Here is a 25635-nt window from a genome sequence, read left to right on the forward strand (position 1 = left end):
CTGCTGCCTAATAAACTGCTATTTTAAAACACTTGACTTTTGTCTTCATTTCCATGATCAGTACATGTAGTTGACTTCCTTCTGAGGGGTCATTTTTTTCACTAGTAAGCAAAATTTTTAATATTTCAAGGGAGTTCCAACATATGCAAAAAGTATATAACACAAAGCTGGTTGAGAAATAGACACTGGTTCTCAACAGTGGGCAAGTGACTCTCTGGCACTCACATTTCTTAAAGGCCAGGGGACTCGAATCTGTGCCCTAGAACAATCTAGATAAGGTATATCAAACTATGACTGTAAAATTTGTAAAATAAAATATATATAAATAAATGGTTCTGGCCGGGCACAGTGGCTCACGCCTGTAATCCCAGCACTTTGGGAGGCCGAGGTGGGTGGATCACCTGAGGTCAGGAATTCGAGACCAGCCTGGCCAACATGGTGAAACCCCATCTCTACTAAAAATACAAAAATTAGCCAGGCATGGTGGTGCACGCCTGTAATCTCAGCTACTCAGGAGGCTAAGGCAGGAGAATCGCTTGAACCCGGGAAGCAGAGGTTGCAGTGAGCCGAGATCATGCCACTGCACTCCAGCCTGGACAACAGAGCAAGACTCCATCTCAAAAAAAAAAAAATGCAAGTTTAAGTTGTTTTAATATTTTTTCCTGCCTTTTTTTTTTTTTTTTTTTTGAGACAAGGTCTGGCTCTATTGACCAGGCTGGAGTGCAATGGTACAATCTTGGCTCACTGTAACCTCTGCCTCCCAGGCTCAAGCAATCCTCCCACCTCAGCCTCTGGAATAACCAGGACTATAGGTGTGCACCACCATGCCCAGCTAATTTTTGTATTTTTTGTAGTGATGGGGTTTCCATATGCTGCCCAGGCTGGCCTCAAACTCGAGAGCTCAACCGATCTGCCCTCCTCGGCCTCCCAAAGTGCTGGGATTACAGGCACGAGCCACTGCACCCAGCCTTGTTTTAATTTTTGACAGCAAAGAAAAACACAATTAAAGCTACATGGTTTTATTCTGCATGCCTATGAGAGATATAGTTGTCTGCTCTGCAGAATGGAGCTGCACGCACATCTCAGAGGATTTCTGTGGGTCGGAGAATATGCCTAGACCTGGATGGGGGCCATCATTTCCAAAGGCCTCAATTGCTGTAGCTGCAGTAGTGAAATCTGTGCCCTGCCTCCCAATGCCAGCCAGAGGGGAAGTGCTTAGGTTTGGGCACCTGTCACTTCTATTTTTTTTCTTTTTTGAGACGGAGTCTTGCTCTGTCACCCAGGCTGGAGTGCAGTGGCACGATCTTGGCTCACTGCAACCTCCGCCTCCTGGATTCAAGCGATTCGCCTGCCTCAGCCTCCTGAGTAGCTGGGATTACAGGCGCATGCCACCATGCCCGGCTAATTTTTGTTTTTCTGTTTTTTGTTTTTTGTTTAGTAGAGATGGGTTTCACCATTTTGGCCAGGCTTATCTCGAACTCCTGACCTTGTGATCTGCCCGCCTCAGCCTCCCAGAGTGCTGGGATTGCAGGCATGAGCCACCACGCCAGGCCTCATGTGTCACTTCTTTTTCTTTCTCTTTTTTTTTTGGGGGGGGACAGAGTCTTGCTCTGTCGCCCAGGCTGGAGTGCAGTGGTGCGATCTTAGCTCACTGCAAGCTCCAGCTCCCGGGTTCACACCATTCTCCCGCCTCAGCCTCCCAAACAGCTGGGACTACAGGCGCCTGCCACCACACCCAGCTAATTATTTTTTTAGTTACAGATGGGGTTTCACCATGTTAGCCAGGATGGTCTCCATGTCCTGACCTTGTGATCCGCCCACCTCAGCCTCCCAAAGTGCTGGGATTACAGGCATGAGCCACTGTACCTGGCCTCATCTGTCACTTCTTAACCAAAAAAAGGCTACCAGATTTTCAGCCACTTTTTTTTTTTGAGATGTGGGTCTCTCTGTATTGCTCAGGCTGGTCTCGAACTCTTGGGCTCAAGCAATCTGCCCGCCTTGGCCTCCTAAAGTGCTGGGATTATAGGCATGAGCCACCATTCCTGGCAAGATATTAATATTTCCTATAGCTATAATACTCATTTCCTTCCATGAAAAGATGACATATTAATATTTGATTTTTAATCTTTCCAGCTAAAAATGTAAGTTCATAAGGTTTTGCTAGATTTAGTTTGGTATAAGGACACAGGCTTTGGTGAGCCCCATAATGTTTAGCAACATGGCAAGACTCCATTTCTAATAAAATGCAAAAATTAGCCAGGTGTGGTGGTGTGTGCCTATAGTCCCAGCTACTCAGGAGGCTGAGATGGGGGGATCAGTTGAGCCTGAGAGGCAGAAGGTGCAGTGAGCCAAGATCACACCACTGCACTGCGGCCTAGGTGACAGAGCCAGAACCTGCCTACGAAAAAGAAAAGAAAGAAAGAATTATGTCTTTACATAATTAAAATTTCCCAAAAGTTATCTTGTAAAACAAAGAAGCCTAGGAATTACATCATTTATTAATAATTTTATTACCACCTTTCTGCGTAACTATCTCCTGAGACGAAATGTCTTTGTTAGTTAAATTTTCACTTATATCAAATTAATACCTGCACAGAGCTTTAAAGTGAAATCATTTTTTCAGGCCTATAACATAAGACAGCAGTGTCCTGCTTCATCCCTACTCCCGATTTTCACAGGCCAGAGCTCACTGCTCCAACGCTTTCAGGTGTTTCATCTGTATTCATACTTCAAAAATATCTAAATAACATGCTTACTGTGCTATGTTTTGATTTCTCAGCTTTATTTTATTTATTTTTTTGAGACAAAGTCTGGCCTGTCACCCAGGCTGGAGTGTAGTGGCACGATCTTGGCTCACTGCAACCTCTGCCTCCCGGGTTCAAGTGATTCTTGCACCTCAGCCTCCTGAGTAGCTGGGACTACAGATGCCTGCCACCATGCCTGGCTAATTTTTTGTATTTTTAGTAGAGATGGGGTTTTGCCATCTTGGCCAGCTGGTCTCGAACTTCTGACCTCAAGTGATCCACCCTCCTCAGCCTCCCAAAATGTTGGGATTACAGGCATGAGCCACTACATCAGGCCTAGGTTTAGGCCAGTTTCATGCATGCAATCATTTATTCAACAATGTCTACTGGCCAGGCATGGGGACTCATGCCTGTAATCCCAACACTTTGGGAGGTTGAGGCAGGAGAAGCACTTCAGGCCAGGAGTTTGAGACTGGCTTTGGCAACACAGTGAGACCTCATTTCTACAAGCTTTTTTTTTTTTTTTTTTAAAGAAAAGCAATGTCTACTGAGGCCTGCCATATGCCAGGCACTGTTCTAAGCAGTAGGGCTATAGCAATGAACAAAGCAAAGTCCCTGTTCCTACAACTGATAAACCAGTCACCAAAGGAGTAAGAGGGCTTCAGGGAGTGATAAGGGTTATGAAGAAAGAAAATACGGCAGGGGTTTATGTCCTCAGAGTGGTGAGGGAGGGAAGCACTATGTCAGAGAGAAGGAGAGGATGAGATCGCCTTGAGAAAATGTCATCTGGGCACAGATCTGACCGGTGTAAAGGAGTAAGCCAGAAATGCACCCCAGTTGGAGCAATGGCAAGTGAAAGATTCTGGGGCTGGAAAATGCTTCCATGTCTGAGGGCTGCGAGCAGAGCAGCATGGGGAGGAGGAACAAGGAGGACGGTAAGGGATAAGCATGGGCAGAACGTGTGTGCTCGCAGGCTACCATAAGGACTAGGGACTTGAATGAGGTGGGGTCACTGGAGGAGCCTGAGAGAACCCCCAGGCTGGATTACTTTATGTCAAATACTGTAAAAATAATTATCTGGGCCGGGCGCAGTGGCTCACACCTGCAATCCCAGCACTTTGGGAGGCCAAGGCAGGTAGATCACCTGAGGTCAGGAGTTTGAGACCAGCCTGGCCAACATGGGGAAACACCGTCTTTACTAAAAATACAAAAATTAGCCAGGTGTGGTGGCGTGTGCCTGTAATCCCAGCTACTCAGGAAGTTGAGGAAGGAGAATCACTTGAACCCAGGAGGCAGAGGTTGTAGTGAGCTGAGATCACGCCACTGCATTCCAGCCTGGATGACAGAGTGAGCCTCCATCCCAAAAAATAATAATAATTACTATTATTTATTTAAATAAAAATGGATGTCTATTTTAAACAAGGTATCTTATTGGAGCAGATATATATAAAATCTATTGTTCAGTTATGACCTTCATCTTTTTTTTTTTTTTTTTTGAGATAGGTTCTCACTCTGTTGCCCAGGCTGGGGTGCAATAGTGCAATCTCGACTCACTGCAACCTCCACCTCCCAGGCTTAAGCAATCCTCCCACTGCAGCCTCCAGAGTAGCTGGGACTACAGGCACGCACCACCATGCCCAGCTAATTTTTGTATTTTCTGTAGAGCCCGGGTTTTGCCATACTGTCCAGGCTGGTCTCAAACTCCTGAGCTCAAGCAATCTGCCTGCCTTGGCCTCCCAAAGGGCTGGGACTACAGGTGTGAGCCATTGCGCCTAGCCATGACCTTCATTTTTATGTCCAACTTTATTACTGCCAAACACTCTAATTAAGCCCATTTCTTTGCCACTTCCCAAAAAAGTCTTAAATCTGGCACACTATAAATGACAATTACCTACTATCTACATTCAATACACAGTTTCCAAAATAAAGCTAACCTCTGGAGAAAAAAACTAGTAAGAATCAACATGAAATGGATGAGATCAGCAGAAATCTCTACTCCTGAGAATGGGTCATAGATATGTCACTCATGAAGCCTTAGGAGACACCCAGTACAAGATGACCAGGGGTGGCGGTATAAGGAAATCTTTCAAGGTTGCTATCCCATCAATGGTGATATAATCATGTTGGACTGTACTTGTTCCTTTTCTGTGTTTCTCCAACACAGAAGAGGCCTGGCAAATGGTGACCCTCCAAAGAGCCATTCTAGAACTGAATGTTGAGATGGAACTAAAAGGACAGATATCAAGATTCCAAAGTAACCATGAGGACATAGAGACCAGAGACCTCTGCAGAAAGAAGCTGGCTGTGGTCTGCAAAATGCCAGGTGCTGGGAAGCTGTCCCATATGACTACCCACAGCAGAGATGCAGCTTCCTAGGAAAAGAAACTATAAAAGCAACAAGTCCAGCAAGGAAATTTCAAATGCCAGAAACCACCTCAGAATAAAAAAAAGTTCACTTGCATCACCTACCAGACCCACCCAAAGACACCAGCTCCAACCACCTGCCAGGTTCAGAGGACATAAAGCCACCCAGCCAATTAAGAAATGTCCTGTGCCTTCATTCTCCTTCCTGTCCTCACTGCAACTCTGACAGGCTCCAGAAAGCAGCTGGAGAGGGAGGGAGAAGAGGAACCAGGAAAGGGTATAGAGCAGAAAGACCATGGCAGCCTTCCAGTGGGGAAGGGGTCTGAGCTGGGGAATGCAAAAAGATACAACTGGTGGCCAGGTGCGGTAGCTCATGCCTGTAATCCCAGCACTTTGGGAGGCCGAGGTGGGTGGATGACTTGAGGTCAGGAATTCGAGACCAGCCTGGCCAGCATGGTGAAATGCCGTCTCTACTCAAAATACAAAAATTAGCCAGGTGTGGTGGCGCACACCTGTAGTCCCAGCTACTCAGGAGGCTGAGGCACGAGAATCTCTCGAACACAGGAGGCAGCAGTTGCAATGAGTCGATATCACACCACTGCACTCCAGCCTGGGTGACAAGGCAAGATCCTATTACAAAAAAAAAAAAAAAATACTTGGACAGTGTCCTTTGGCGCCTGGCACAGAGTAGGTACCAATTAATGACAGTGATCATTATTACTGCTCCTTTGTTAGGGACAAAGGAAGCTAATGAGGCTTTCTCATTTCTTGGATGGTCCATTGCTCAAGTGTTTACTGTAATTCTAAGCTCACTAAGCAACCTCATGATTCTAATGCCATTCTCTGTCTAACCTGATCATCAGGACTAGGTACCCTGAGCAATAAACATCAGTACTCCTGTTCCCATGCAAAGACACCAACAAGTTGGTTTTTTATTATAAGCATGAATCTCCTATGTAGGTCAATGCCATTCGGTTCATTAAAGTTTTACTGATTCTTTGTGAACTGAAAAAACTGACTAGATATTGAAGAATGAGGACTGCAGCAGAGGTCTGACCCTTGAGAGGCCCTGCCTGAACAGTCAGGCTCCCTCCTGGGTGTGCCTCTCTTTTTAATTACACGTGATCACATGAAGGCACTGAGAAATCCCGAAGCATCCTCTGAAACAAAGGAAGCATCGACTAGGTCTGCTCTCAGTTTTTCTTAATGTATTTCATTACAAGCCTCTGGGAATTCGTCATCCATAGATGGTGTATGGAGAGATACTTCATCGCTCGGGAGACCTTTTCAACCAGAACACCTGCTCTCTACCACATCGGGTCATGGAGGACTACAACAGTGATTCCAGGCCGGGCGCGGTGGCTCAAGCCTGTTAATCCCAGCACTTTGGGAGGCCGAGGTGGGAGGATCACGAGGTCAGGAGATCGAGACCATCCTGGCTAACACACTGAAAACCCGTCTCTACTAAAAATACAAAAAATTAGCCAAGTGTGGTGGCGGGTGCCTGTAGTCCCAGCTACTCGAGAGGCTGAGGCAGGAGAATGGTGTGAACTTGGGAGGCGGAGCTTGCAGTGAGCCGAGATCGTGCCACTGCACTCCAGCCTGGGCGACAGGGCAAGACTCCATCTCAAAGGAAAAAAAAAAAAACTTTATTCTTTTCCTCCTCACTTCAATAAACTAGTCTAAAAAAAATAACTCCTTCAGTGGTGGCTAGAGAATTGTTAATGTAGCTAAATCCTTGCATTTCTCAAAGACTCAAACCAGACACAGTATTCGCATATTTCACTGCTTAAAGTCTTTAACTAGTACCTCCAGAAACGTGTTTATATTCAGAAAATGATTCATCTCTAGGAAGAAGGAAAAACAAGGAGGTTACAAAGGTAACAAACAAAATTTAAAATGTAAAATGTTTGCAAAAGCTTCCAGGCCACATAATCCTGTGAGTTTCCTTTATCCTTAATTAGGTCAGCTTTTGATACTTCCATCATTTTTTCAGCATTTTCTTTTTCAATACTGCTGCCCCAGAATCCCATTTGCAGTTTTAATTGACCTACTTAATTAGGATTTGGAACACTCAGACAGAAGAGTGTGTTGTCTTCATTCTGTTTTGCTCAATAGACCTTATAAATAAATTGAATTTCTAATTCTGTTTGTTAAAAACCAGGCACCTTAGGCAATTCCAAGACCCAAATATTCAGGTTTAATTATGGTCATGAGTGTCTATTCAAATATGGTCTAGGCCAGGCACAGTGGCTCACACCTGTAATCCCAATACTTTGGGAGGGCGAGGCAGAGAGACTGCTCGAGCCCAGGATGTCAAGACCAGCCTGGACAACATTATGAGACCCCCGTCTCTACAAAAAAAAATTTTTTTTTATTAGCCAGATATGGCGGCAAGCACCTGTAGTCCCAGCTACTCAGGAAGCTGAGGCAGGACAAAAGGGAGTAGCCTTTTGTCCTTCAAAAGGTTATTCTAACTCCAGTGACTCCTCAACACTATCCTATGATGTGATGGAAAGTCTTAAACCAACATTTGAGTCCAGGAGTTGGAGGATGGAGTGAGCTATGATCATGCCACTGCATTCCAGCCTGAGCGACAGAGTGAGATCCTGTCTCCAAAACAAACAAAAAACAAATATGGTCTAGGTGAAGGAGCACACAGTCAGGAGTCAGTACACCTTGGTTCTCCACTGGTGTACTGCAATGGTACTAACCACTGCAATCTTGGCACATCCCTAACACTCCTGAGCCTCAGTCTCTCACCTTTACAAAAAAGAAGGTAGACTCTCGGGTTTAGAATGGGTCTCTCTATTCATAAAGACTCTAAGTCTCGGCAGGGCATGATGGCTTACACATGTAATCCCAGCACTTTGGGAGGCTGAGGCAGGTGGATCACTTGAGGTCAGGAGTTCAAGACCAGCCTGGCCAACATGGTGAAACCCTGTCTCTTCTAAAAACACAAAAATTAGCCAGGCATGGTGGTGCACTCCTATAATCCCAGCTACTCAGGAGACTGAGGCAGGAGAATCGCCTGAATCTGGGAGGCGGAGGTTTCAGTGAGCTGAGATCATGCCACTGTACTCCAGCCTGGGTGACAGAATGAGACTCCATCTTAAAAAAAAAGACTCTAAGTCTCTAAGAATATTTTCTGAGCACCTACTGTGTACAAAGCAGTGCGCTATATACAGTGGGTGGGAGGAGGAACAAAGATGAATTGATGTTGTCTATCGTGAACTCTACACTGCACTAGGGAAGAGAAGGTCATACAGTATAAGACCAAACGCCATAGCTGCCTTATTTATCTTCTGTATTCCTCATGATTGGCACTGTGCCTGATATACAGTACTCAATGAAATGACATAAAGGACATACAAAATGCTCTGTGGGCACTGAGAGAAGAAGGGCTTTATCTGATGGAGAGGAATCAGGAATGGTTTGTAGGTGTTATATCCGAGTTGATTTTTTTTTTTTTTTTTTTTTTTTTTTTTGAGACAGAGTCTCACTCTGTCACCCAGGCTGGAGTGCAATGACACGATCTTGGCTCACTGCAACTTTCTCCTCCCAGGTTTAAGCGATTCTTGTGCCTCAGCCTACTGAGTAGCTGGGATTACAGGCACCCATGACCATACCTGGCTAATTTTTGTATCTTTAGTAGAAGCAGGGTTTCACCATGTTAACCAGGCTGGTCTCAAACTCCTGACCTCAGGTGATCTGCCCACCCCAGCCTTGCAAAGTGCTGGGATTACAGGCGTGAGCCGCCGCGTCTGGCCTGAGTTGACTTTTAAAAGGTGGTTTTAACTCCAGGGACTGACTCCTCAACACCATCCTATGATGTGATGGAAAAATCTTAAGCCAACATTGAAGGTTCTCCAAGCTCTGGTCCCAATATGTCCTTCAATCTTTATCTTTCCCTTACCCAGAACTAAGCTATAGCCAACCACTCTGCTTGATGTACCTCAGATATTACTTGTAATTGTTTTCCTCCATGCCTCCATTCATGCTGTTCTTCATACTGAAATATCCTCCAATCTCAACGTTATCCAACCCCAATATCCTTCAAGGCCCACTTCAAATTCAAATTTCTTACTTTTTAAAGGAGGGGTTATGAAGCTTTTCTTTTTTTTTTTTTTTTTTTTGAGACAGGGTCTCACTCTGCCTCCCAGGCTGGAGTGCAGTGGTGCAATCTCGGCTCACTGCAACCTCCACCTCCCAAGTTCAAGTGATTCTCTTGCCTCAGCCTCCCAAGTAGCTGGGATTATAGGCATGATGCATGACCACGCCCAGCTATTTTTAGTATTTTTAGTAGAGACGGGGTTTCACCATGTTGGCCAGGCTGGTCTTGAACTCCTGACTTCAGGTGATCCACTTGCCTTGGCCTCCCAAAGTGCTGGGATTACAGGCATGAGCCATTGTGCCCGGCCTATGAAGCCTTTCTTGATCCTTCCAATAGTAGGTGCTCTCTCCTGTCTTTGAAACCCCACAAAGACTTGTTGGCTTTTCTCTCGTGGTACACGTACCATTTGCCCCTGCATTACAGTTGGGTCATATCTTTTTCTCAAGATAATAATCTTTGACATCAGAAACTATATTATTCATCTATATTGCCAAATAAATGGAAGGTATTCAGTAGATTATTCTGACAGGACAAATACGAAAAGGACAATCTAGGACATAGAACTATATGAACAATGGTGCTAAGTTAGGAATATTTCTGACTTATGCCTCAAATGGGGACTATTCCAGTTTGACTTTTGAATGTAAGGTTTAGTTGGTAGAATCAGAGGCGTTGAGCTTGGAAGGTAGGTTGGAGTCAGATTACACAGAGCCTTGAATGCCAAGGTAATAAACAGCATAGATTCGGTTCTCCATGAGAGTCACTGATAGTTTTGGGCACTGGAGAGTAACAGGATCTGAGGTATAGAAGGTCAAACCAGAAGTCTCCTTGGAATTTGGTTGGAGATTAAGTCCATCCCAGACAGAAAAACCAACTCTTAAGTGTACTGACAAAATTAAGTGCATGACTCTGTAGATCTGTGAGTCCCAAAAAAGTCACCAAGTTAAAGACTGTTTTGTAGGCTTCCTGGCAACCAGACATTTACGTTCCCACTTCAGTAAAAGGAGACAGACCCACACCAAAGCAGTTATTACTAAATTTCCAAACTGGTGAAACAGAGAAGATTCTATATGCTTCCAGAGAAGGGAGAGAGGAGCAAAAAAAAAAAGTACAGTACACACAAAGGAGGTGTATGTGTGTGTGTGTGTGTGTGTGTGTACACATACATGTACATACATACAGATTGAGTATCTCTTAACAGAAATGCTTGGGACCAGGAGTTTTTTAGATTTTGGATTTTTTTTTAATTTGGAACACCTGAATTATACCATTGAGAATCCCAAATATGAAATTCTGAAATCCAAAATGTTCCAATAAGCACTTCCTTTGAACATCACGTTGGTGCTCAGAAAGTTTTGGATTCGGGGGCATTTCAGATTTCAAATTTTTCAGATTTAGGATGCTCAATCTGTATATGTATATATAAATTACAGTATGTGTATGTATGTAAGTGTATGTATGTATATACATGTGTACATGTATACATGTGTGTATATACGTGTGTATATATGTGCATGTGTATATGTGTATGTATATGTGTGTGTATATGCATATATGCATATATGTAGATGTATATGTGTGTACATATGTATATGCATATGCATATGTATGCATAAATGTGTATGTATGTGTATATATGTATGTGTGTACATATGTGTATGTGTGTGTGCATGTGTATATGTGTATATATGTGTGTATACGTGTATATGTGTATGAACATATATATACATATATGTATATTGTATTAGTCCATTCTCATACTGCTATGAAGAAATACCCAAGACTGGATAATTTATAAAGGAAAGAGGTTTAATTGACTCACAGTTCTGCATTGCTTGGGAGGCCTCAGGAAATTTACAATCATGGCAGAAGGCAACGGAGAAACAGGCACTTTCTTCACAGGGCAGCAGGATGGAGTGAGTGCCAGCAGGGGAAATGCCAGATGCTTATAAAACCATCAGATCTCATTAGACTCACTCACTATCATGAGAACAGCATGGGGGAACAGCCCGATGATCCAGTTACCTCCACCTGGTCCCACCCTTGACACATCGGGATTATGGGGATTACAATTCAAGATGAGATTTTGGGTGGGGACACAGCCAAACCATATCAGTATATACGTGTGTATATATGCATGTATATATGTGTATGTATATGTATATATATATGTGTGTGTGTATATATATGTGTATGTGTAGGCATGTGTTTATGTATGTATACGTGTGTACAACTTGTTTTCCCTAGAGTAGCATCACATATTCTTAAATAAATTTCTACTACAGATTTCTAACAATAACATAAACAATGTAGAGTAGTGTTATATGTAACTTTCTATCTGTAACTTAGTTTTGAGGTTTATCAAAGTTACATGCTCACAGCTCTAGTCATTTTCATCATTGCATAGTATTCCACTGAATTTCTATATTACACTTATTTAATCATTTTTCTGTTATTGGACCTTTAGGTTACTTTAAAAGCTTTACTTATGATGAACAATGCTATAATGAACAATCCATGTATATATGTGACATTTCATGCGGTTATAAATTTAGTAGTGGAATTACTAAGTATGAATTCACATTTACTAGATATTGCCAAACCAATATCTAAAGTGGTTGTACCACGGTCAACGTTTAAAACATTTAAACATTTAAAAAACTTTTTTAAAAGTTTTAAACATTTAAAAAACTTTAACACACATGTATATATAACTCCTATTTGTCTAAATAACATACTTAGATTGTTACACAAACACACACACACACACACACACACACACACACACAATCATGATTCCCTCTAGAGTATCAGGGAGGGAAATGGGATCGGTCAGGGAGGGACTCATACAGATTTTCAATTATACATGTAATATTTTATGCCTTAAGCTATGTGATAGGTACATAAATGCCCATTATATTATCTATATTTTTTGTGAATGTAATGGAAATCTTTCTAGAAGCTTCTGCTACAATTTGGGAAATTAAACTCAACATTTAACTTTGCTTCATCTCAAAGCACAACTAGAAGATCATAATCCCTTATCCAACCCTTCAGAGATACAGGTGTTAGAGAATTCAGAAGCCACCACGCCCGGCCAGGCTTGTTTCTTTTTTGTGTCTGCTAAATGCTCAGGCCTTCCACAGAGCAAATGCAAAGGAAATCAGGGGTGTCAAAGTGTTTTCAAGGGGAGCTCCACCATCACTTTTCAGAGGTAAACTGTAACTCAGCTTTGGAGGAAGACCACAGCAAACAAGGGAGAAAGGCGAAAGTCCTGCTTACCATAGAAGAGGAATGCTTTGGTCATGTGATGATGGAGGTAGGTCCGGTTGATGGTGAAGAAACAAGCATCTGCTCCACATTGGCCTAACCTCCCAGTCTCCCCCGTCAGCGGGGACCACCAGAGCATAATGGGGTAGCTGTCCAATTCCCATTTTCTTTTCCTGTTGAAGGTCAATCCTTCTTTCTTAAGAAATGAATTAAGATGCGTAGGTGCTTCCTCCATTTTTGTATGTCCATCTTGCAAACTGGAACTTTTAAACTCCTTCCTTTCAAACTTCCCCAGCTCAACCATGACCTAAAAGAGAAGACAATTATTATCAGTGTCAAACTGTTTGATTTCCTTTTGCACATCTCTCATTAATCTTGATGATTTAGCCCCTGACTCGTTTTCAATTGCTGCTGTAACAAATTACCACAAACAGTAATTTAAAATAACACAAATTTAAGCAAGGTGCACTGGCTTATACTTGTAATCTCAGTGCGTCGTCAGGGGGGCAAGGTGGAAGGATCACTTGAGACCAGGAGATTGAGACCAGCCTGGCCAACATAGTGAAACCCCGACTCTACTAAAAAATACAAAAATTAGTCAGGCATGGTGGCGGCACACACCTGTAATCCCAGCTACCTGGGAGGCTGAGTCAGGAGAATCGAATCACTTGAACTCGGGAGGCAGAGGTTGCAGTGAGCCAAGATCGCGCCACTGCACTTGAGCCTCGGCAACAGAGCAAAGCTCCATGTCAAAAAAAAGAAAAGAAAAAAAAATTGGCCGGGCATGGTGATGCATGCCTGTAATCCCAGATACTCAGGAGGCTGAGGCAGAAGGATTGCTTGAGCCCAGAAGTTAGAGGTTGTAGTGAACTATGATTGCACCAATGGTATCCAGCCTGGGCAACAGAGCAAGACCTTGTCTCAAAAACCAATCAATCAATCAATAAATCACAAATTTGTTATCACACAGTTCTGAAGTCAGAAGTCTGCAATGGGTCTCACTGGGCTAAGACCCAGGGGTCAGCAGGGCTGCATTCCTCCCTGAAGACTCTAGGAGAGAAGCCTCTTTCTTGTTTCTCTTTTAGAGCCACCACCATTCTTGACTCATGGCCTCCTTCCTCCTCTTCAAAGCCAGCAACACTGCATCTCTCTGACTCTTCTGATATCACCTCTTCTCTCTGACCATGTCAGGAAAGGCTCTCCATCTTTAAGAACTCATGTGATTACATGGGGTCCACATGAATAATTTGGGATAATCCCCCCACCTCAAAGTGGGTCACATTGATCCCATCTGCAAAGTCTCTTTTGCCTCCTAAAGTAACATATTCACAGGTTTCAGGGATCAGGGAGTGGACACAGCCTCCAAATATCAACCAACAAGAATGGCCAACGATTCTACTAAACACTTAGAACAAATACATTTCCCTTCCATTTCATAAGTCTGTAGGATATCCAGAAATAGTTTTGCCTCTTTTTTTTTTTTTTTTGAGACAGAGTCTCGCACTGTCACCTGGGTGCAGTGGCGCGATCTTGGCTTACTGCAAACTCCGCCTCCCAGGTTCAAGTGATTCTCCTGCCTCAGCCTCCCAAGTAGCTGGGATTACAGGTGCCAGCCACAACACCCAGGTAATTTTTTGTATTTTTAGTAGAGACGGGGTTTCACTATATTGGCCAGGCTGGTCTCAAACTCCTGACCTCGTGATCTGCCTGCCTCAGCCTCCCAAAGTGCTAGGATTACAGGCATGAGCCACCACGCCCAGCCAGTTTTGCCTCTTAATGAAACCTATGACAGGATAATTACCTGACTACTACTAGAGAATGCACTCTAGGGAAAATGAGTTATAAATTATCAACTGGTTTCTTTTTTATTACAATTAAAGTAGTCATAACATGGGTTTTATGTTTCTAATAATACTCACTATAGCACTGAGATAGTGAAATAATACCTAATGTCAAAATTCCCTAGAGTCTATGTTACCAACATAGTAGACCATGAGTACTGGGCTTCCACTTACTCCCACTTAGAACCACATTTTTAAATTTATTCCAGGATAGTCTAAGTCTGGGTCACTGGACAGCTTGGACATCAGTAACAGTCATCTGGAGGGCAGGGTGAGTGTAGCAGAAACTCCAGAAGTGCTGCCTTTTCATCAAATTTTAAGATTTGGTATTGTGCTGAGCACAGTGGCATACACCTATAGTCCCAGCTACTCAGGAGGCTGAGACCAGAGGATCACTTGAGTCCAGGAGTTCAAGGCTGCAGTGCGGTATGATTGCACCACTGTACAGCAGCCTGAGCAAAAAAGGGAGACTCCATCTCAACAAAAAAACAAGATTTGGTATTAATATAATTGATATGGCACTAATTATAGAAATATGCTGGAGAAAGGGTTGATCTGCTCCATATGTAACTGAAAGTTTAGTAGACTATGAAACAAATACAGCGTTAAAGCAGTTAAAGTAAGGCACATTTACATTTCTATGTGTTAACTGCTCCACCAGTCGGCCATGGAGGCCATTCCCTGTGCAGCCCTCAGGTCCCGCTTTTAGCAGCCAAGAGTGTTACCTCTTTTATGTGCTCGCTGCTCCTGGTGTTAGATAAAGGCCGCTGATCATTGAAGCATTGCATGGAGTCTGTAACTCCCTGGGGAGGGCCCGTGACTTTCATTAGATTCTCAACGGTATCCAAGGCCAAAAAAGAAAAAAAAAAAAAACCACTGAGTGAAAGCCAAGCAGCACTCCAGAAGGAGTAAGAAATTATATTGGCTTTAAAAAGTCATGGATCACCTGAGACGCCAAAGTCAACACTAGAGCAGCAGAGCCATCACTGAAAACTAAAGTCTGCCTGTTGCCAATAGCTCTCTCAGCATTTTTATGATGGAACAATGTGGCTCTCCCCAGTAGTTTGATCCATGGGAGATGACTTGTAGCCACAAACTATCTTTTCATCTGACCTTCTTCCCCTGCAAATGTACAACCAGTCACTTAAAAGAAAGGCTTTTAGAAAGCCATAGGATACAACTCCAAAGGTAAAATTTATTCCACATTTCAGATCAATATCTACTATGTGAGTTATAAATTCATTTCCAAATAATAGGGATGCTTTTAAGGAGAGATTCTTCTTCTGCCATACAACTTATTTTTTTATTTATTTTTTATTTTTTTATTTTTTGAGACAGAGTCTCTCTCTGTCGCCCAGGCTAGAGTGCAATGGCGTGATCTCAGCCTACTGCAGCCTCCTCTTCCCGAGTTCAAGTGATTCTCCTGCCTCAGCCTCTGGAGTAGCTGGGATTACAAACGCAGGCCACCACGCCCTGCTAATTTTTTTGTATTTTTAGTAGAGACAGGGTTTCATCACGTTGGCCCAAACAGCTTTTTAAAAGGTATTACCTTCGGATATCACTACCAGATTGTAGGAAATATGGCAGAATAAAGGAATGCATTAAATAAAACCATAATCAGCCAATCCCACACTCTAGAAAAGTTAAAAGGATAAATGACCCAGTTTTTAAAAGTCCATGACATGGAATAAAAAGTGGGGCAGAAAAGCCTTTTATTTTCTTTTTTCTTTTTTTTTTTTTTTTGAGACAGAGTCTCGCTCTGTCACCAGGCTGGAGTGCAGTGGTACAATCTCGGCTCACTGCAACCTCCACCTCCCAGGTTCAAGTGATTCTCCTGCCTCAGCCTCCCAAGTAGCTGGGACTACAGGCATGCACCACCACGCCCAGATAATTTTTTTGTATTTTTAGTAGAGACGGGGTTTCACCATGCTGGCCAGGATGGTCTCAATCTTTTGACCTCATGATCCACCCACCTCAGCCTCCTAAAGTGCTGGGATTACAGGCCTAAGCCACCATGCCCGGCCAAACCTTTTAAGAGTGAAAAAACAAAAACATAAAACTTGAGACTCACCAACCAAATGCAATGTATAGGTTTGCTTATCCCAAATTCAAACCAACTTGGGACAGACATGGTGGCTCACACCTGTACTCCCAGCATTTTGGGAGGCCCAGGTGGGTGGATCACCTGAGGTCAGGAGTTCGAGACCAGCCTGGCCAATATAGTGAAACCTCATCTCTTCTAAAAATACAAAAAATTAGCTGGGCATGGTGGCATGCCCTGTCTCTCCTAAAAATACAAAAATTAGCTGTGCGTGGTGGCACACACCTGTAATCTCAGCTACTTGGGAGGATGAGGCAGGAGGATCACTTGAACCCAGGAGATGGAGGTTGCAGTGAGCCAAGAACATGCCACTGCACTCCAGCCTGGGCAACAGAGGAAGACTCCATCTCAAAAAAAACCCCAACTCATTATGAAAATTCTTTTTTTTTTGAGACAACTGGGAAAAATTTAACATGGCCTATCATACAGAGAATATTCAGTAATTGTTAATTTTATTGGGTATAATAGTAGCAATATGGTTACATTATATTTTTCAAAGTTCCTAGCTCCAAAGTGAGAGAATCATATTAACATATATCCAGGTGAAATGCTATTATGTCCTGGATTTGCTTTAAAATACTCCAAAATATATTCCTAAACTATTTATGCAACTAAAAAGTAAAATTAAAAAATAAATATACATATATACCCAAAGAATTTACAGACAGTTTATACAAAATATAGTTAAATGTGAATGGAAAACAATGTCTAAGTTTTCCTCCAGAGAACTATGTTTTAGCTTAAGTGTAGGTAACTATAATATTTTCATGTTTAGATTAATATTAATTAAATAATTTATGTTATAGAATCTGCTATGGGCTAAATTGTATACCCCAAAAAAATTCATAAGTTGAAGTCCTTACTCCCAGTACTTTATAACGTGACTATATTTGGAGACAGGGTCTTCAAAGAGGTAACTGAGTTAAAACGGGTGGGCCCTAATCCATTAGGACTGGTGTCCTTATAAAAAGGGGAAATTTTGACACACACAATTACAGAGAGAAGGCAGTGTAAAGATACAGGGAGAAAACAGCCATCTATAAGCCAAGGAGAGAGGCCACAGAAGAAAGAACCCTGCTGACACCTTGATCTTGGACTTCCCAGTCTCCTGAACTGTAAAAAAAAAATTAATTTTGGTTGTGGAAGCAAGCGACTTCATCTGCAGTATTTTGTTACAGCAGCGCTAGCAAACTAACAAAGGATCCATGGCATGATTTTTTTCTATTTATCCTATCTTTACCCTATTCATATGGCAAAGTATTTCATTTGCCTAAAAACAGGAATGGAGGCCAGGCCTGGTGGCTCACGCCTGTAATACCAACATTTTGGGAGGCCAAGGCGGGTGAATCACTTGAGGTCAGGAGTTCGAGACCACCCTGGCCAACATGGTAAAACCCCATCTCTACTAAAAATACAAAAAATTAGCCAGGTGTGGTGGCAGGCACCTGTAATCCCAGCTACTCAGGAGGCTGAGGCAGGAGAATTGCTTGAACCCAGGAGGCAGAGGTTGCAGTGAGCCCAGATCGCACCTTGCACTCCAGCCTGGCAAGAGAGCAAGACTCCGTCTCAAAAAACAAAAAACAAAAACAAAAACAAAAAAAAACTTCCCACAGAAAGCAGCAGAAAGCTGAAAATGTCAGGCCTTCTGTGCAGCAGGTCCTAGATACCTCCAGCACAAACAAGGAAAGAGACACATGTTGCCTCTCACCAGAATCCCAATCTGGCAGAAGGCAGCAGTAGAAATACAGCACCATATTGTCTGCCAAAGTGCTTTTATAAGCATTACCTCATTCAATCCTACACAGAAGGGAGATCCTGCAGAGTGAAAAAGCCCAGAGAACACCTTAGCGTCTACCAGTCCCACAACTGTAACTACTCATATCCACAAATAACCTTTAAATGTTGTGTGGAGAACCAGGCGTGGTGACTCATGCCTGTAATCCCAGCACTTTGGGAGAACAAGGCAGGTGGATCACCTGAGGTCAGGAGTTCGAGACCAGCCTGGCCAACATGGCAAAACCCCGTCTCTACTAAAAATACAAAAATTAGCTGGGCATGGTGGCAGGCACCTGTAATCCCAGCTACTCAGGAGGCTGAGGCAGGAGAATTGCTTGAACCCAGGAGGTGGAGGTTTCAGTGAGCCGAAATCACGCCATTGCACTCCAGCATGGGCAACAAAAGCAAAACTCCACTCAAAAAAAAAGTCCTGTGGAAGCCAGGCGCAGTGGCTCACACCTGCAATCTCAGTGCTTTAAGAAGCCAGGTAGGCAGATCTCTTGAGCTCAGGAGTTCAAGACCAGCCTGAGCAACATGGTGAAACCCCATCTCTACAAAAAAATTAGAAAACTTAGCCACGTGTGGTAGTACACACCTATAGTCTCAGCTACTCAGGAGGCTGCGTTGGGAGGATTTTTTTGAGCCTGGGAGGTAGAAGTTGCAGTGAGCCGAGATCATGCCACTGCACTCCAGCCTGGGTGACAAGAGTGAAACTGTCTCAAAAAAAAAAAAAAAAGTTCTGTGGATTTTGAAATGGATGGCTGGTACCTGAATGGGTGCAAATTCTATCAGAGCTGATATCTATACTTTTACTATCACTGCCCAATTTTTATTTCAATTTGAAATCAGTGAAGGGGCTGGGAACGGTGGCTCACACCTGTAATGCCAGCATTTTGTGAAGCCAAGGTGTGCAGACTGCTTGAGCCCAGGAGTTCAAGACCAGCCTGGTCAATGTGGTGAAACCCCGTCTCCACAAAAAAATACCAAAATGAGGCCAGGTGTGGTGGCTCATGCCTATAATCCCAGCACTTTGGGAGGCCGAGGCGGGTGGATCACTTGAGGTCAGGAGTTCAAGACCAGCCTGGCCAACATGGTGAAACCTCATTTCTACTAAAAATGAAAAATTAGCTAGGTGGCGGAAGCCTGTAATCCCAGCTACTTGGGAGGCTGAGGCAGGAAATCGCTTGAACCGGGGAGGCAGAGGTAGTAGTGAGCCAAGATCGTGCCACTGCACTCCAGCCTGGGCAACAGAGTGAGACTCCACCTCAAAAAAAAAAAAAAAATTAGCCAGGCACCATGGCACATGCCTGTGGTCCCAGCTACTGGAGATGCTGAGGTAGGAGGATTGCCTGAGCCCAGGGAGGTCGAGGCTGCAGTGAGCCGAGACTGCGCCACTGCTCTCCAGCCTGGGTGACAAAAATGAGATCCTGTCTCAAAAAATAATAAATAAATAAATAGAAATCCATGAATGAAGTTCGGAATAACTGACTAAGGGATTACAGGTAGGAGAACTAAGCACACGTTTCAGTTCATTCATCCATACACAGTCCTTGGTCTAGAAGCACATGTCAAGATTTACTTATAATATAGATGTCTGTGTTCTACACTTACTACAAGATACAGACTATCTTGTTCTCAGAATAGTCCTTGCTTCTCCAAGAACGCAATCTTTCAAAAGTGATAACAATAGGAGATTCTGAGGAAGCCATCCAATTTTGACCCAGGAAGACAGACTGAGCTTTACTTCCTGTTTCTCTACAACCAGGAGCTTACGAGAATCTCAAACTCACCTTCTATTTCAATGACTTTGTTTCTGCCTGACACGTCCATTCACTAAACCTCAGTTTCACCTGTTTAAAAAAGGGGGGCAGGGGGTGAATTGGAAGGGTCTCCCTGCCAGAGGTTTTTTACTGGGAGGTATTTTCTCCCAGTAGAAAACCTCTGATCCTGGCTGGGCACAGTGGCTCACGCCTGTAATCCTAGCACTTTGGAAGGCCAAGGCAGGCAGATCACTTGAGATCTGGAGTTCGAGACCAGCACGGCCAACATGGTGAAACCACATCTCTATTAATAATACAAAAAATTTAGCTGGGCGTGGTAGCGGGTGCCTGTAATCCCAACTACTCGGGAGGTTGAGGCACAAGAATTGCTTGAACCCGGGAGGCAGAGGTTGCAGTAAGCAGAGATCGTGCCACTGCACTCCAGCTCGGGCAACAGAGTGGTACTGTGTCGAAAGGAGTGGTACTGTGTCGGAAGGAAGGAAGGAAGGAAGGGAGGGAGGGAGGGAGGGAGGGAGGGAGGGAGGGAGGGAGGAAGGAAGGAACCAACCCTGATCCTGAACACCCCTGATTCAGCAAAAAGTGAAATAATTGGAGTTTTGAGAAAATAGGGGGTAGGGGGACATGGCAAAGGCCCAGCTATCAACACTACACAACCCACATTCTTGGTACCTGGAGTGTGACAAGCAGAAAGACGGTGGCTGTGACGCACAGGCAAGATGCCAAAAGCTTCCTCCTCTGAATCCGCACCATGCTGCCCTGCCCTGGGTGACTGACAGAGGGCTAACCTGGTTACCAGGTGTTCTCTCGTCAGCCCAGAGCCCGAGACAACTTCACATGGAAGAACCATCTGGGCGCCAATTTCCTGCACTGCCATTCCTGCTGGGACCAGGTCTCCATGAAGGACTGAGATCCGAGGTTGTGAGAGGGTCTGGCTTGGCATCGAGAGGAAGCAGCATGCAGTCTTCTTAGGCTATCATCAGAGCAGCTGGAGATTTCTCCAAATAAGAAGGAATCAAAAAAATTCTGCAACAAAAGATCATCTTTTAGCCATAGCGCAGATTTAATAAATATAGTCTTGCAGCAGGGTGATCATGAAAAAACATAGACATTTTAAACTAAAAGGAAACATTGAGATCATGTAGTCCTAGTACCTCACTCATAAGTAAGGAAATCAAGGCTGGGCGTGATGGCTCACTCCTGTAATCCCAGCACTTTGTGAGGCCAAGGCAGGTGGATCATTTGAGGTCAGGAGTTTGAGACCAGTCTGGCCAACATGGCAAAATCCTGTCTCTACTAAAAATACCAAAATTAGTTGGGCGTGGTGGCACGCACCCGTAGTCACAGCTACTCAGGAGGCTGCAGCAGGAGAATCACTTGAACCTGGGAGGCAGAGGTTGCAGTGAGTAGCCTGGGTAACAGAGAAAGGAAAGGAAAAGAAAGGAAAGGAAGGGGAGGGAAGGGGAAGGGACCAGAGTGGTGAATTGACTTACTCATGGCCACACAGCCCATCAGAGGAGAGTGACAAATCTACAACCAGATCCCAAATCTCAAATTCTGCTTCCACTTAATGCTCTCTGCCATCAGAAGACTGAATTCCAAGACTTTTATATGAAGTCATTCCCTTCTAAGTTTCAAAGGAGTTTAGAAATGGAATAAAAATTACCAGGACTATCCACCCACTCCCATAAAATTTAGGAAGAAAATAAAAGATTCAGGCTTCAATCAAAAATGGATAATCATCATGTGGCCCCCAATGCCCACTAAGGAAACCAACTTTTGCCACAGCATAAGGAATTCTGAATATGATTTATTTGTCTTTTACAGCAAGTGAATAAAGCAGTGGGCTGTTGGAGCAATATTATTCTTTGGAAGTTTCCAAATAAAATTTTCATCTATCTGAAATGAATGATCTTTTCAAAAAAGTTGTAAAAATGAACTAAATGAGTGCCAGGTACAGTGGCTCATACCTTTAATCACAGCACTTTGGGAGGCCAAGGCAGGAGGATGGCTTGTGCCCAGGAGTTTGAGACCAGCCTGGGCAACATAGTGAAACCCTGTCTGCATAGAAAATTTTACAAATTAGCTGGGCATGGGGGTGTGCACCTATAGTCCCAGCTACTCAGGAAGCTGAAGCAAGAGGATTGCTTGAGCCCAGGAGGTCAAGGCTGCAGTAAGCCGTGACTGCACCACTGCACTCTAGCGTAGGCAACAGAGCAAGACCCTATCTCAAAAAAAAAAAAGGTAAAAAAAAAATGCCCCCATAGAATGCCCTTTATCCCTATGATATTCTATGAACTTCAATGTCCTGGGCAAATGGCACTGTGGAGCTCAGAGTGGAGGAAGGGTCAACTTTCCAGAGGAAGGGCAATGCTGCTGCACAGTACTTCACAGATCTGAGTCTAAGTCAGACCTACATCATGCCCCTGACATACAGAGTTAAAGATATAATTAGATATCATTAGTCCTATAAAAATAATATAGAATCCTGGTTAAAAACTTTAGTCTTAAAGGTGTGCTCCCAGGTGGGTGCAGTGGCTCACACCTGTAATCCCAGCACTTTGGGAGGCCGAAGCAGGTGGATCACTTAAGGCAAGGAGTTCAAGACCAGCCTAGCCAAGATGGTGAAACCCCGTCTCTACTACAAATACAAAAATTAGCTGGGTGCGGTGGCAGGCACCTGTAATCCCAGCTACTCGGGAGGCTGAGGCCAGAGAATCACTTGAACCTGGGAGGCAGAGGTTGCAGTGAGCCGAGATTGTGCCACTGCACTCCAGCCTGGGCGACAAAGCCAGACTGCGTCTCAAAAAAAAAAAAAGGTGGGCTCCCCTCTCATGAGTCTACCTTGATTTACTTTTTTTTTGAGACAGGGTCTTCCTCTGTCACCCAGGCTGAAGTGCAGTAGTGTGATCATGGCTCACTGTAGCCTCCAACTCCCAGGCTCAAGCAGTCCTCCCACCTCAGCCTCCCGAGTAGCTGGGACTAATGGCATGTGCCACCACACCCAGCTAATTTTTGTTTGTTTGTTTATTTGTAGAGATGAGGTCTCACCATGTTGTCCAGGCTGGTCTTGGACTCCTGGGCTCAAGTGATCCTCCTGCCTTGGCCTCCCAAAGTGCTGGGATTACAGGTGTGAGCCACCGTGCACGGCCTTACTTTTAAATCCAGGAATTTTTTTTTTCCTTCAACCACAAAGTAACACTTGGACTCAGAAATCACCAAAAGTGCATTTTTCTTCTTTCATCCATGAAATTCCCAAAACCCAGTGACTAAGAGAAGGTCTCAAGTCTGCCTGCCAGGATTCAAATCCCAATTCCCCAGCTGGCTTAACCTCACCTCTCCATAACTCACTTTCCAAAAGTAGATCCTCATGAGGCCTAATCAGAGTTGTGAGAATTTTATGAGCTATGATTGGTAAAACACTTATTTCAGACCCTGACACATAATACCCAATAAATGTATGTTATCCTTATATTTAAATATTATTGTAATTTATTATCCCTTTAGGTGGAAAATGAAGCATATAAAATAGATTGCTACCCCATCAACTGGAACGTTAAAAGGAAAAATGCTCACTTTGCCAAAGAAAAGGAGATTGCTAATATTTGTTGAGTAACCTATCATTGGCAAGGCCTTTCCTAAGTACTTAGCACACAGGCAGGCGCTCATTCAATCCTCCCAACAACTCCACTCTCATTTTCAAATATAAGAAAACCGAATCTGAATGAAGTAAAGTAACTTGACCAAGACTCTAACTTTGACGAGTATTACGATCTGAAGTGCACACATTCCTTTATATTTTTTAGCATTAATACTATAAAATTCCTTGACTGCACACAGTGGCTCATGCAGGTAATCCCAACAGCTTGGGAGGCCAAGGTGGAAGGACCCACCTAGGCAACACAGTAAGACCCCATCTCTACAAAAAATAAATTAGCCAGGCATGGCGGTGAGTGTCTGTAGTCCTAGTCCTGGGAGGCTGAGGCAGGAGGATTGCTTCAGCCCAGGAGATTGAGGCTGCAGTGAGCCGTGATTGTGCCACTGCACTTAGCTTGGGTGACAGAGCCAGGCCTGGTCTCAAAAAATAAAAAATAATTTTAAAAAAAGAAATACTATAAAATTACCACCAGACAATACCAACACTCACAGGTTACCTGCCTAAACCACAGAAAACATATGTAGTACAGTTGTCAGCTAGTATATCAGAGAAAAAAGGAATACAAATCTATAAGAACCTGTAAAGTACCTTTGCTCCTACTTAGTAGATGCTTGTAGCTATTAACCACACACAACATGGAGCTAGCACTTTGGGTCCCAATCCTGGTTCTTTTACTTAATATAAATTTAGACAAGTTACTGAATCTTTCTAAGCCTCAGCTTCTTCATAGTAAATAATAAATGTTAACTATCACTATTTCTTTCCCTTGCATAACAGAAAGATTACCAAATTTTCATTTAATGTGCAGAAGCAATTTATTATAGTTATCATTAACGTAACCCAGATTATGTAGTAAAATAATATCACCTACTAAAATGGGAATAAAACTATACTGTTTTCAAAAATGTTTAGATATATCACTCTACTCAACCTTATTTATAACCACTTTGAAAAGTAGGCAAGGTAGGTATTATTATTCCCAGTTCCCAAGGAAGCTGAGCCTTCTCAAGTTTAAGTGATTTGCCCAAGATCATATATATATATATATACACACATACATACATATATATATAGAGAGAGAGAGAGAGAGAGTTGTTGCTGTTGTTGCTTTTGTTGTTGTTTTCAGACAGGGTCTCGCTCTGTTGCCCAGGCTGGAGTGCAGTGGCGCAATCTCGGCTCACTGCAACCTCCGCCTCCTGAATTCAAGCGATTCTCCTGCCTCATCCTCCCGGGTAGCTGGGACTACAGGCGCGTGCCACCACACCCAGCTAATTTTTCTATTTGTAGTAGAGACAGGGTTTCACCATGTTGGCCAGGCTGGTCTCAAACTCCTGAATTATCTTGAACACCTCAAATGATCCACCTGCCTCGGCCTCCCAAAGTGCTAGGATTACAGGTATGAGCCACTGCACCCGGCCACAGGATCATATTTTTTAAAGACAGAAGTGAGTCTAGATATCAGCTCACTCAACTCAAAGATGTGTGGAAAGCAGATAAATGAAGGAACATAGTGACAGCTTGTGAAAAGTACAGAAATAATCAGTAATAAAGGAAAACAAAAGATACAATTTGAGGACAGAGTTTGGGATATTTTTATAGCTACTGCATAGCTCAGGTCTATCATAGGAGCTTTTTGGGACCTTCGCATAGCTTTATGAACTATGACAGAAGAATTTTAAGATTATGAATTCCCTTATATTTAAAGAATCTCAACCTAGGCTATCTTCCCAAAGCCAGAAGTGTAGTAGGTCTCAGGGAACAACGTATGGTTAAGTAACTACCACTAAAGAACAGAGCCAGCCAGGTGCGGTGGTTCTGGGAGACTGAGGCAGGAAGATCCCTTGAGCCCAGGGGTTCAAGACTAGCCTGGGCAACAAAACAAGACTCCGTCTCTACAAAAAAAATTTTTTTTAATTTAAAAATTAGCTGGGCATGGTGGTGCATGTCTGTGGTCCCAGCTACCTGGAAGGCTAAAGCAGGAGAATCACC

The 25635-nt window shown here is 43.5% G+C and overlaps 1 protein-coding gene across 8 annotated transcripts in view; it reads right to left on the bottom strand.

The window, feature by feature from the left end:
* Positions 1-25635, bottom strand: part of POFUT3 (protein O-fucosyltransferase 3) — a 165086-nt gene that overhangs the window by 132651 nt on the left and 6800 nt on the right. For 4 of the 8 annotated variants that reach the window (XM_011544676.4, XM_011544681.4, XM_011544679.4 and 1 more), the window contains exons 2-4: positions 20661-21014; positions 15059-15184; positions 12505-12799 (exon numbers count right to left, since the gene is read on the bottom strand). In XM_011544676.4, the coding sequence (XP_011542978.1) occupies positions 12505-12799; positions 15059-15184; positions 20661-20741 (502 nt within the window). In that variant the 5' untranslated portion in view covers positions 20742-21014. Of the gene's footprint in view, positions 1-12504; positions 12800-15058; positions 15185-20000; positions 20061-20660; positions 21015-25635 lie in introns of those variants that run through there. The other 4 variants (XM_011544677.4, XM_047422326.1, NM_032664.3 and 1 more) reach the window with 2 other exon arrangements.

This window comes from Homo sapiens, chromosome 8 (assembly GCF_000001405.40).
Source record: "Homo sapiens chromosome 8, GRCh38.p14 Primary Assembly".
Lineage (NCBI taxonomy): Eukaryota > Metazoa > Chordata > Mammalia > Primates > Hominidae > Homo > Homo sapiens.